At 47.5% G+C, this 13,983-nt stretch overlaps 1 pseudogene across 1 annotated transcript; it reads right to left on the reverse strand.

The window, feature by feature from the left end:
- Nucleotides 1-2,140: 2,140 nt before the first annotated feature.
- On the reverse strand, nt 2,141-4,874 carry NOC2LP2 (NOC2 like nucleolar associated transcriptional repressor pseudogene 2; annotated as a pseudogene). Its single transcript, NR_002826.2, has one exon. The product of NR_002826.2 is annotated as an NOC2 like nucleolar associated transcriptional repressor pseudogene 2 (transcript).
- Nucleotides 4,875-13,983: the final 9,109 nt, after the last annotated feature.

Genomic DNA, 13,983 nt, shown 5'->3' on the forward strand with positions numbered 1-13,983 from the left:
TGAAATCTTTTTTTTGAACTACAAATGGGAAAATCATCATCTTTTTTCTTTGAACACTTAAATCACAATAGCATTATTTATTATAAAATCACTAATACTCTCTAAATGTCTTGCTGAAATAATTTAGTTCAGTAGTCCCTTTCCTTTCATGTGTATTTAGACTAGATTCCTTAAAGAAATCATAATTTCTTTTAGAAGAATACTTGTCACACACACCAAAAAACAACCCAAAGTGATTGTGTTGAGTGAAAAGAACAAGGTGAGAAATTGTGAATGTATTTAATAGTATTGCATCTTCATTCATTCTCTCAAAAGAATATTTGCTGAATATTTACTATGTGACAGTTACTGCCGTAGGAGCTGGTGATATGACAAGGAACATACAAGATGGGATCTTTGCCATCAAGTTGCACGCATGTATACGTACATGCATATGTGCATATGCATAGACATAGAGTAAAACATCAGTCTGCAACAAAACAGATTAAGAGGACAGAGAGTGTATACTGGTTATTCTTCATCATCTATCTAGATCTATTCTCTGCTCTTTGCTGCTTGGCTCTTTGTGGCTCCTGTTTTCTATTGCTCATGAAGAGCGAATGCCCTGTTCTTTAGGAAAACATTGTTGGGCTTTTAGACGGTGGGCCAGGAGGGCAGATCCCATTCTCTGTTATGGGACATTTCATCAGAAGTGAGTGGAGACTTGGAACTAATGGGATTTTTGCAGATTACTGACAGTTCTGGGGACTCAACAAAGATGGCAGTGGTGTGGCATGGTCCACGTTCAGGAGAGGGGTGCCACCTTTTAAACAAAGGAAACAGTCAAGGGAAGCTGAGATTTATGTTCAGTATAGAAGGCTTTCTGAGGAGGTGCCATGCAAATTTCTGATTGAATTGAGAAAGCGAGTCATTCAAATATCTGAGTGAAGTGTTCCAGACAGAGAAAACCACAGTGCAAAGGAAAGTGAGGAGCAGCAAGAAAGCCAATGTGGCTGATGAAGTGACTGAGGGGGTAGTGATAGGAGCTGAGGGTGGAGAGGTAGCCAGAAGCTGGCTACATAGAGTTTTTTAGGCCATATTTTGAAGACTTTAACAAAAAATTATGAGTGAGGTTGGAAGGCATTCAAAGGTTTCAACTTTGCGATTTGAAAGTGACAAACTATGACTTACATTTTAAAAAGATAACTGATGACTGTGTGGCAAATAGACTGTCAAGGGCAGAAGTGAAAGCCAAGAGGCCTATGACACTAGAAGACTAGGTGACTCAGGACAGAAACTTGTACCGGGGTTGCAAGTAGTGAAGGTCGTGACTGGTCGGATTTAGGAAATATTTTGAAGGTAGAGCTTGCAGGACTTGGTGGATTGAATGTAGAATGTGAGAGAAAAGTGCGAAGTTCAGGATGGCTATAATGATTTTGGCCTGAATAACTGGAAAAATGGAGTTGGTATTTATTGACATGGGGACAACTATGGGAAGAATTTGGGTGGGAAATGAAAGTCCCATTTTGGACATATTAAGTTTGAGTGCATTTCATATATTCAGTGCACATGGAGAATAGAGAGTTGAATATTTGAATCTGAAGTAAAATGGAGAGATTGGTGTTGAAGGTAAGATGTGAAGCTTGTTGCTGAATGTGGCATCTAAAGCCAATTGGGTTGGACGAGATCATTTATAGATGAGCACTGAGCAGGTGCTTTGCTGCATTCTGAGGATGGGAACAGGGCTTCATGGGCACAAGATCTTTGTAATCACGCAAGACCTCTTGCTCAGAAGGGCCCCATGCTTTGTTGAGTGCTCTGCTCTCACTATCTTGAAACTTTTAATAATTTTTGAATAAGAGCCCTGCATTTTCATTCTGCACTGCACCCTGCAAATTATGCAACGGGTTCTAGTTGGGAACATAAAGATCCAGCTAAAGAAAGAGCCAATGAAGTAGACCGAAAACCAAGCAAGTGTGAGGAGGTGTCATAAAAGCCAAGGGAGTAAATTGTGTGACATGGACAGCATGACCCACAGACTCAAAAAGATGCTGCAAGGTCAAATTACCTCAGGACTGAACATCAACCATTGGATTTAGCAACTTGGGTGTGCTTGTTGCCCATGTTGGAGTGGGTTGAAGAGAGAAGAAAAGAAAAAATGTTGAATGTGAACAACTTTTTTTTTTTTTTTTACAATGGCCCTGCCTCCCACAGCTTTCTTTCTTTCAGTTTTAGATGCAAAACAAAAAAATTTAAAGGAAAATGTGACTTCAAAGGAAAGGAACAAATTTCCAAAGACTTGGGGGAGGGAATGCAGAGCCTGGTGTGGATGGACAAGGTCTGCAGACGGAGGGCAGAGGTGGTGGAAGGGGCCAGGGACCTGCAGGCCTCCCCCTGGAACTGGGACTGGTCTCCGTCTGCTAACGTCAAGGTCAGCTCCCCCGTGGAGCTGACTTCAACAGCCATGCCAGCCCAGCCTAGCTCTCAGTAGGTTTGGCCGTTCATGCTGAAAAATAAATATTAAAGCCTGTCCCCTGTCTATTGCCTCCCCCAACTGCATAGACGCCAGCCTCTAGGCCTGAGAGGTGGAAACACTGGCCACCAGCCCGGCAGCCCCTACAGGCCCCCCAGATAGGCTGCCTCAGTCCTCCTCTGAGAGCTGTAGATCCTCCAGCTCATCCTCTGGCCCCTGGGCCAGCCGCTGCAGCTCCCCAGGGGCCAGCCCCGCCTCTGCGTCTGGGTCTCCATCCTCCGAGTTGCTGCTGTCCTCCTCGCCCTCCTCCTCGTCCTCTTTATCCTCTTCCACCCCACGCCGAGTGCTCAGGGGCCCCAGTATCCCTCTTTCCAAGAATCCCTCGGTGTCGTCCTCTTCACAGCTGTTCAGGTCAAAGAGGTCTTTAAATTGCTTCCTGTCCTCATCCTTCCTGTCAGCCACCTTCCTTCGTTTGATCTCAGGAAAGTTCAGGTCTTCCAGCCGCTCTTTGCCACTGATCTCCAGCTGGATCTCCCAGTCACGCAGCTTGCACCAGTGGCTGTAGTACAAGGTCAGGGGGGTCCCCTCTTCCAGGGTCAGCTTCTGCCAGGCTTCCACTGCCTGCTGGTCAGAGACGCCGAAGGAAACCCTCTGGCGGCGGCTGCAGATGTGTTCCGAGTTCTCCTGAACCTTCCCAAGCAGCTGCTGCACCTGCCGGCAGTAGTTGGCCACCTTGCACTCCCGGAGGAACGACTTCAGCCGCAGGACCACAGGCAGCGCCAGCTCCGGGAAGCCGATGCAGTGTGCCTGGCTGTGCAGGTACTCCAGGGTGAGGTCGTACAGCTGCTCCACCAGGCCGTCCTGGTACGCCTTCTCCTGCAGGTTGACACTGGACAGCTTCAGGATCACGGAGAAGTTGATGGGCTTGGAGCTCATGCGCCCCGGCTTCCTGCTGAAGTCGACCTGCTGGAACATCTCCAGGATGAAAGGCAGCACTGGGATGAAGGCCCCCGAGCTCCCCGAGAGCAGCGTCAGGGCACGGATGCAGTGCATTCGCAGTGGGTAGAAGCGGGCAGTGGGGATAAGCTTGATACAGCCAATGATGACATGGGCAAGGGAGTAGAACAAGGGTTGGAGGGCTTCGCTGGGGCCCACAGTGCTCAGGACCCGGCACCACAGGAAGAGGCAGTGCACGTACTGCCAGTTGTACACAGACGTTTCCTTCTTGCGGGTGGTCATGGCATTGTGCAGGTGTATGGCGAGCTGGCGGATGTAGAGGAAGGCGTGCTGGTAGGCCACACCCGGCTCCAAGGCCAGCAGCTCCCTCAGGGTCCGCTGCATGAAACTGATGAAGGGGAGGGCACCAGGCGAGGTGAACTTGCAGTTCCTCACATACATGATGTACATTTGCTTGAGGACGGGGCCAAGGAAAGTGTCCTTCTTGTGCCGGCAGACTCTGCTGAGGACCAGGAAAGCCAGCACCCGCAGGGACTCCTCCCCTGTGCTCCATACGACCACCATTCTCTTAAGCAGCATACGGCACTGCTTGGGGAAGGTCAGGAAGCAGGGCACTAGCACGCTGATGTGCCACAGCACGGCCGCCAACACCATCGTCTCTGCCACACAGGACACTAGCTGTATGACCGAGCCCAGGTACGCCTTGATGTCCACATGGAGCTTCCCCCAGAGCCGGCTGCTGGACGGCTGCAGCATCCTGCTGCTGTCCTTTGCCGCCTTTCCAAACAGCAGCTTCTGGAGACAGCCAATAAGGTCTCTGATGCAGAAGGTGACCAGAGCATTGAACACAGCACTGTCCCTGACCTGGAATTTGTTGGCCTCAGCACTTTCCTGGTCCCCTTGGGTGGTGGCCACAGCTGCTCCGAATGCCTGTACCACTTCATGGAACAGCTTTGGAGTGAGGTGTTGCTTTGCTGCCTGCTTCCATCTCTCAACCATGGCGAGGGTCACAGGAACACAATTCTTCCCCTTCAGCCCTCTGGGGACTCTGTCCCCATCTTCCCCCTCCTCCGCTCCATCCTCATCCTCACTGGCTTCCTCCAGCACATCTGGCAGGGAGTTGAACGGCTCCTCTTCCTCCTCAGAGCTGAGTCACTGAAGTTTAGCTGGCTCTGGTCATTCTCCTGCAGGAACTTGTAGAACTCGGGGTCTCTGTCCTTCAGCCGAGAGAGCTGATCTTTGTGCTCAGAGGCACAGCCTTTACGCCGGCTGGCCAAGGAGCTCCCGCCCGGCTCATCCGGACTCCGGGCAGCCTCGCGTGCCTCCCGCGTCTCCGCTTCTGGAGAGTATTCGGACTTAGAGTCAAAGCCCGAAGCTAGGAACTCGTCCACCGTCAGCTCCGCCAGGCGCCTCCTGCGGCGCCGCGCTCCTGCCATGATACCAGCCTGCAGCTTGCGGCCCACTTCCGGCCCCAGAATGCCGCGCGGCTGCACACTTCCGTCGCCCAGGCCCCGCCCCGTTCCCCGCCCCGCCGCGCCATGCCCAGCCGAGTAGCTTTACGGTTCTCCCACCGCAGCGCCCGTGGCCTCCGGGCGGGATGGCGCGTTCGCGTGCTCGGTGCGGGCAGCCCCGGTGGGGCCCAGATGCGCCTCCCGCTCGGCGCCTGGCTTCGTAGGACGCGGCGACGCCGGTGTCCGTCCTGGGGAAGAGAAACCAGGAGTCCCGCCGCGCCCGCAGCCCACCCGGCGTTCCGAGGGCAAGCGCCTGCGAGGATGCCAGGCTGCGATGGCGGGGCCCCTATGCAAAGAGCTCCCACAAATCAACAATAAAAAGCAGAGGGTCCAGTAGAAAGCGCGAATGGCGGTGGGAACCGCACTGATGTTGCCAGCTCGACAGAAGACGGGCGACCCGAGAGCCAGGCTGGCTTTGCCTCCGATCCGCAGAGACCAGGCCAGCGCCACGAACACCACGCAGGGCGCTCCCCGTCCATGGCCCTCTGGGTGCGGACGGCGGCTCTTCCGCGGCCCTTCCCGGGGACGCCGCATGGGGCGAATGCGGTGGGGAGGCCAGCGCCTTCCTTCCTGCTACCAGCCTGACACCCGGGCCCCCGGGCCTGGACAGCCAGACCCCGCGACAGGGTCGCCCCGGGGCGCAGGCGTGGATCCCCCAGACCTGGCGCTGAAGGGGCACGTGAGGCGGACGCAGGCAGAGTGGCCTCAGGGTCCCATTCGGCCTCTTGGTGCTGCGGTGCCCCGTGGCTCCCCAGAGGAGAGCAAGTTAGGGGGTCGGGGGAGCGGGGATGGCTTCCGGGGGAGGAGGAGGGCGAGGCCTAGGGGGCTTCTCGGAGGAGGAGGAGGGCGAGGCTTAGGGGGCTTCCCGGGGGAGGAGGAGGGCGAGGCCTGGGGGGCTTCTCGGAGGAGGAGGAGGGCGAGGCCTGGGGGGGCTTCCTGGAGGAGGAGGAAGGCGAGGCCTAGGTGGGGCTTCTCAGAGGAGAACGGCAAAGGCCTGGGGGGCTTCCCGGAGGAGAAGGCGAGGCCTAGGGGGGCTTCCCGGAGGAGGAGGAGGGCTAGGCCTGAGGGGGGAGCTTCCCGGAGGAGGAGGAGGGCTAGGCCTGGGGGCGGGGCTTCCCAGAGGAAGAGGATGGCGGGGCCAGGGGGGCTTCTCGGAGGAGGAGGCAGACCCGGGGCGCAGCGCTGGAAGGATCCGCGTCCAAGGTCTAGTCCCCGAAGCCTGTCGGGAGGCCGGGCGGGCGGTGCCGAGCCAATGTGAACAACTCTTGCAGTCACTTTTCTTGGAAATGGGAAGCTTAAAATTGGGTAGGAGCTGAGAAAGATACAGGTTCAAGAGAGGGCTTTTTTAAGATGGAGGTATGTGTTATAAATGAGGGATTAAGTACCCCTTGTGGAGTCCTTAAGGAACCTTCCAATAGGCTGTGGAGATGACACTGGGAAGGCATATGAATAAAGGATTTACTGTACTCACAGATTCCAAAGAGGGAGGCACGACATACCTTGTGGGGATCACCTGGGCAGAGCACCAACAAAGCGGGCTCAGCCAAGCAGGTGGGGAGCCAAGGGCAAACAGGTTCCTGTGGACAGTTGCCCTTATTGGGCATCAGGGTGGGGTTCACCAGCAAAGGCAGGAGGGGATATCATGGGTGTGCTTAAATGTCACTAGGCCATGGTCGGGAGAGTAAGAAGGGGGACTTGTGACAGGGACCAGCCTTGTCACATTGGTGTACCTGGTCATCTGGGAAAGGTGCCCACAGCTTGTTTGTGGAGATACTGAGGAATCAGGAAAATGGGAAGTTTTTAGAGGTTGCAATTCAAGATGTTATGGTACATCATTTTTCTTGGCAATGACTCATTAAAAAAGAAGAAAAAACTAATGAGGCAGGAATGGAAATAATTCCAGGAGCAAAGTCCTTTAGGAGGAGTGGGGAACAGGATCCAGTGCAAAGTGGGGGGTTGGCCCTAGGAGCCAGGGAAAGCCGAGTGCATGGAGACAGATGTCTGTGCCTGCTGCATTTTGTAGAATGATCCATTCTGATTTCTCCTGTATCAAAATTGAAGCCTTCAGCTGAGAGTGAGAAGCAGAGAGGAAATGTTGAGGTTTGAAGAAGAGAAGAATACGGAACGGTCATCTAGGAGGATGGGCAAGCAAGGAGACCAGAACTGGCAGGCAGCGCAAGGGCTGCTGAACAGCCCGAGCAGTGAAGTGGCTGAAATAGGAACATCAGGTGTCTCTGGTGATTATTTCTTTTTTGTAGTTTTCTGATTTTCCAGATGTTCCCTAATAGGCATATCTTACTTCCACAGTTATCCTTTTTTAGACTGTTACAGAGGGGTGAAAAATAGAACATATAATGTAGGAGAGAGGACTTAGGATTTGGGGAGGTGAGTGGGGAAACAGAAAGAGATAGAAGACCTCATTCTGTTTGCCTGTAAAAACAATGCCTGCAATAGATGAAAAGTCCAGTTTTCTGCAGACATGTACAAAATGTTTTTGACCTTTTATTCAGGCCAACAGATTTACTCCATTTCTAGGTCTGAGCCACCAATTGGGTTTCTTCGTTGAGTCTGAGTGTTTGATAGGCCAAGTGGTGGAAACTGTTCCCAAGTTCTGAAACTAGGGGAGCCTCCATTCTGGGCTCTGCAGTGGTGAGGTGCACTCTCATCCCTGCCACATTTTAGTGGGAAGCCTGGTGAGGCTCATTCAGGGACTATGAAAACATCTCTTACACCAGAACCTCACTAATCTTGTAAAGTTTGCTTATTTGTTAAAATGATTAAAAGTAAACATTAGAAGTTGAGGTCCTTGATATCTGTTTTCAGAGTGTCTTAGCCACTCTCTATTTGTCTTAATAGATTTGCCTGATTTTTTTTAAAATTTCAAATCAAGGTCACTGTTGTGAAAGGGAATTTCAGAGATAATACATTGTTATGAAGGGCCGGGTGTGGTGGCTTACACCTGCAATCCCAACACTTTGGGAGGCTGAGGTGGGTGGATCATGAGGTCAGGAGTTTGAGACCAGCCTGACCAACATAATGAAACCCCGTCTCTACTAAAAATACAAAATTTAGCTGGGTGTGGTTGTGCACACCTATAATCCCAGCTACTCGGGAGGCTGAGGCAGGAGAAGCGCTTGAACCCCAGAGGTGGAGGTTGCAGTGAGCCGGGATCATGCCACAGCACTTCAGCCTGGGCGACAAAGCCAGACTGTGTCTCAAAAATAAATAAATAAATAAATAAATAAATAAATAAATAAATAAGTTCCTCTGAGTTATTTACCATCTTTCTGTTGAAATCTTTACTGAAATTATAAATCTCAGCTTTCAGAAGAAGATGTGGTAATTAAATCGTATGACTGTTAAAACATACGGAGCTCAGCTGTGTGGACGCAGAGTAACTCTGCGTGGGGTGTGAGGTAGGGTGTGTGTTTAGAACTCTGCAAGTTGAAGATTTCAGAGACAAGGGCAGCTGCAGAAGTCCTGAGTTTTACACTAGGACAAAAGAGAATAGATTTTTCTCTTATGGTGGAAAGAACATTTAACCCCGCAATATGTATTTAGATGATGTCATACTTTCTTCTTGAAATATACAAACCCTTTGATGAATTTCTTTCATCTTTAAACTCTTTCATAATGAATCTCTTAAATAATAAATCTTTCTAATACATTTTTCAGTCTTTGTATTCATACACCAATGTAAATTCTTTTTTTTTTTTTTTTTTTTTTTGAGACAGAGTCTCGCCCTGTCACCCAGGCTGGAGTGCAGTGGCACGATCTTGGCTCACTGCAAGCTCCGCCTCCCCGGTTCAAGCGATTCTCCTGCCTCAGCTTCCTGAGTAGCTGGGACTACAGGTGCCCACCACCATACCTGGATAATTTTTAGTAGAGTCGGGATTTCACCATGTTGGCCAGGATCGTCTCCATCTTCTGACCTCGTGATCCACAGACCTTGGCCTCCCAAAGTGCTGGGATTATAGGCTTGAGCCACCACACCCGACCGTAAATTCTTAAAAAGACAGCATATTTATTAAGTTCATGTGTTATTGCTATTGGAAACAAAGACACAGTAGATAAGGAGTATTGCATGAGCACTGGATCTGAGTTGAAAACTATGGAAGACACTAACAGAACTATCTTCAAGTCCGTTAAAGGGAATTATTTGCAGCCAGGCATTTTTTTCCCTGAAGTAATATCTATGACTTCTTAGTAGATGTTCTGAAGTGGCAAGGTAGGAACTTCAGTTATTGTAGGTGAAAACCTCAAGCTATGGCTGGGCATGGTGGCACATGCCTGTAGCCTGTACTCAGGAGGCTGAGGCGGGAGGATCTCTTGAGTTGAGGAGTTTGACGCTATAGTGCACTATGATCACTCCTGTGAATGGCTGTGGCACTCCAGCCCGGGCAACATAGTGAGACCCCATCTCTAAAAAAAATTGAAAATTAAAAAAACTTTCAGATATGCTTAGAAGCAGATTTTTCAAATCCCATGGGGAAGGGCTTTAAGAAGAGTATGATCAGTAACCAGCGAAACAATGATTAAAGCATTGTCTTTAGAAGATGATGAACTAAAGGAATCTAAATCTTATTGCCTGAAACTCTTTGCAGTCAGGCAGCTTAATTGGGTGTCTTTGAGAAAATTATTGTCTCATTTATCATATTTGTGCAATGAAAATAATACCTACATTGTACGCTTGTGGAATTTAAATAACAAAATATTTTATGTATCTACATATCTCCTGGATATAGTACAAGTTTAAAACATTGTAGTTTATCATCAGTTTCCTGAGAGATGGCACCAATGGCAAAACGGTCACCAAAGCTATTCCTTTAGAATTAGAGGACAGTCCCCACTTCATGGACAACATGTGAGTCTAAGCACCCATAGCGTCCATCAGCCTGTCCTCTCTCCTTTTTTAAAGAGCAAAACAGGAATTCTGTTGTGATTGAAGGACTTTCTGTCTGTCCCTGGAATCCTAGATGCTTTGAGATAACTGCATAGAAGTTGCAGACTTTTTTCAAACACTGATGGAATGAAATACTGTCATTGCCTCTCTTTTTTCATAGCTAGCATAGAAGACTGATCTTTTTGGGGGGGATTGGGTGGGTGGCAACCTCATCCAAGGAGGGGCTACATAAGTCGTAGAAGACCTTGCCAATCCAGGTAGGTTGTAACTTTAGGCTCTGTATGGCTGGTCAGGGAGTCAGTCTCTGGCTTGACTCTGACCTTCCAGGAGCCTGGCAGTTGAAGAGGATCTCAGGGTGATCAGATAGAGAACTGCAGAAGGTGAGAGTCAAGTTAGCCTCTTCCAGACTTATTACAGTCCCCTAAAGCATTAATGACCTTTTTGCCTAAAGCCGATACATGGACATTTTTAGTTCATTGACCTTCAAATAATTGCAGCTGTTTGGAAAGCTATTGGTCATAGAAACTGGTAGTACTTCCAAACTTTTCAGTGATGTTTATCATTTTTTTTTTTTTGAGATGGGGTTTTGCTTTTGTTGCCCAGGCTGGAGTGCAATGGCGCGATCTTGGCTCACCACAACCTCTGCCTCCTGGGTTCAAGCAATTCTCCTGCCTCAGCCTCTGGAGTAGCTGGGATTACAGGCATGTGCCACCACGCCCGGCTAATATTGTATTTTTAGTAGAGACGGGGTTTCTCCATGTTGGTCAGATTGGTCTTGAACTCCCAACATCAGGTGATCCCTCCTGCCTTGGCCTCCCAAAGTGCTGGGATTACAGGCGTGAGCCACCGCACCTGGCTGATGTTTATCATCTTAATAGCATCTGTCCTTTAACCCTGCACACACACTCCAAAAAAGTTAACTAAAAGAGACAATGATTAATTTTATATTCTGATGTTTTCTTATGAACACATTTGTGGCCACTTTAGTGTCCAGCAAAGCATTTCTTTGGCGAGTGATTTAAGGAGGGGTGGAAAGTGGAATGGAAGAAGTCTCTGGAAAGTCTTTAACACTGAGACGTATTTTCTCCCTGTTTGACTCCAAGGAATTTCCACTCATGGAATCTGGCCTATTAGAAAGAACTTTTTCCTTTTGTACTTGATTCAACTTAATAAATTATGTTAACCAGCTATGGTGAATGATGAGCATTCCTCAAACCACAGAACAATAGGCTTCATCGTTGAAGCTCTAAAAGAGCAGGGATCTATCTGTTCCAATTCTCTTCTGCTGGGCACCATCTTCTAGCTCTGCTGCAGTCTCTCATTCATAATTCTTCCCCTAGACCAAGTTCTTCTTTTTTACTGACCTCTAGGACACCTGGCATGCATTCCTCTTCTGACTGCCTTTGTTGGCCTGAATGCTGAAATAACATCACTGAACTAACATCTCCTAAAGAAGACATTTGTCATCAGAGGCAAATCCTCAGTGAGGATTAACCTGTCTTTAAAAGATCATGAGTAACCGGCATATGAGATGGCATGAGACTAAGAAGTGTTCCTTTGAGGCAGACCCGCAATGGTCTGTGTGCTTGCCTCTCCGGTCATATCACCAATTATCAAATCTTGGTGCACCATCGCATCCCATTTGTCACACATCTGATTTTTCTTAAATAATTATACTGTTCCTTTGTGAGGATTAACCCGTCTTTAAAAGATCATGCGTAAATCAGCACAATCTGAAAGATTCAGAGCTTTTTTACCTTTCTCTCTGCTAGGCACAATGATTACCATCTCCAGCCTTATTCTTCACAGCCACTCAATCGTGGTCCTTGCAGTTTTGCTTCACTCCACATACACCATTTCATTTCCCTTCCCACAGTCACTTCCTAGAACAGATACAGAGGGAGGCCCTGCTTTGCATGCTAATGAGGGACCACAGAAATGACTGCAAACAGAAAATGGAACGCGATCTCGTGCATCAAAGGGGAATGTTCTGACTGTTCTGTGACTTTTAAAAATATGTTGTCAAAACATTAAAAACTATTGTAGGTTATAAATGCACAGGAACATTTTCAAAAATACTAAAACTAATATTTAGTATAGTGTAATTTAAAACATCAGAAACACGAATCAATATTTTATTTCTTTGTAAAAATCTTAATGGAGTATAGTTTGAATGAAGCTGGCCCTCCTCTTCTTGTAGTACTTACAGTGCAGAGTGAGCTATACCTTGACAAACTGTCATTCTCCTAAGTTTGAATCAGCTTCCAACTATTTATTGTTTGTGCTTTCAATGTCATGAAATACCTCTGATAATTCCTTTAATGTGAGTTTTGTTTGTTTTGTTTTGTTTTGTTTTGCCATGTCACTTTCTTGGGACATCTTTATCCTAAAATGAATGAACACATCTATTTTCATTTATGTTGTTAAGTCTGCCTTCCCTAAGTTCCTCTGGAATGCCTCAAACAGTGGCAAATTACCTCCAATAGCTATTTCTTCCATAACTCCATTTACACTCAATTTGAATTTCACTTTCAGAGTATATTAGTCAGCGTTCTCCAGAAAACAGTATATGCACACACAGAGGCATAAATATTTATTTCATCTTATATATATGAAGATTTTTAAGATATATAAAGATTTATATAGGTATACATGAAGATTTATTTTATTATGGAAATTGGCTTACACAATTAGAGAGGCTGAGAAGTTCCACCATCTGCATTCTGGAGAACCAAGAAAACCAGTGGAATAATTCAGTCCAAAGTCCAAGTCCAAGGCTGGAGAACCACAGTGCCAGTGTCCAAGTTCTGGAGAAGATGGATGTCCCAGCTCAAACAGGGGGAGTACATTTGCCCTTCCTCCACCTTCTTGTTCTATCAGATGATGCCCACATTGGTGAGGGTGATCTGATCTTTACTCAGTCTACTCATTTACATGGTAATGTCTTCTGCAAACACCCTCACAGACACACCAGAACTAATGTTTTACCAGCTGTCTGGACATCCCTTAGCTTAGCCAAGTTAATGCATAAAATTAACTAGCATTCAGAGTTCTCTATTTTTGTTTATTTGCTGTGCTTTTATCTTTCTGACACTTCACTGTTGGCCAGTTTTCTCTTTTGATTAGCCATTTTTGAAAATGTTATGCAGGCTTATCACTGGAAGAAAAGGAAAAAACACAGCTTCATGGTTTGCTGCCAGTGTGTGAATTGAATAAAAGATGTGGGGCCGGGCGCGGTGGCTCACACCTGTAATGCCAGCACTTTGGGAGGCTGATGTGGGTGGATCACGATGTCAAGAGATCAAGACCATCCTGGCCAACATGGTGAAACTCTGTCTCTACTAAAAATACAAAAATTAGCTGGGCATGGTGGCACCTGCCTGCGGTCCCAGCTACTTGGGAGGCTGAGGCAGGAGAATCACTTGAACCCAGGAGGCAGAGGTTGCAGTGAGCCGAGATTGTGCCACTGCACTCCAGCCTGGTGACAGAGCGAGACACAAGACTCCGTGTCAAAAAAAAAAAAAAAAAGATGTGTGGTGACCAATCACCAATAGATATTGAAAGAAGTGACATGATTGGTCACTGATCATAATGCGCCTCTGGTATACATGCAGCAATTTATGGGTTGAAGGTCTAGCAGTGAAGTTTCTCCTTTATGCAATTATTCACAGTTAATAGACCATAGCAACTGATACCAGAACTGTGTTGTTGGGGGACTGGTGTCATTGGACTAAACTGTGGTAACTGAAATCTGCGTAATATTGGAGCTGTGCTAAGCAAGGATGGACTGGTTATTACTAGGACAACTTTCTGGCTTCTCTTTTTATTTTTAGTGCATCTAATTCATCTGACATTTAATCGATCCAGATTTTCTTCCAGGATGACTAATACCTTAGTCATCTAACCACTCAAGGACCTCACAATATCTTACATGTAGTTTTCACCTAAACTAGGGTATAACAATTATAACCATCTTCCTGGTCATCCTCAGCATGTATACTGCAGTTATATCCTAAGATTTCATCTCTATTAAGCTCCAGGGAGTAATAGGTGTTCTTTAGCCCTCTGCAGGATTAGAGAATTGAGGCTGCTTTGTTACTGTTGTTGTTCACAATAAACTTCCATAGGAAGTGAGTTACAAGACTCTAGACCTTTGTTAA

Source organism: Homo sapiens, chromosome 2 (assembly GCF_000001405.40).
Source record: "Homo sapiens chromosome 2, GRCh38.p14 Primary Assembly".
NCBI classification, from domain to species: Eukaryota; Metazoa; Chordata; class Mammalia; order Primates; family Hominidae; genus Homo; species Homo sapiens.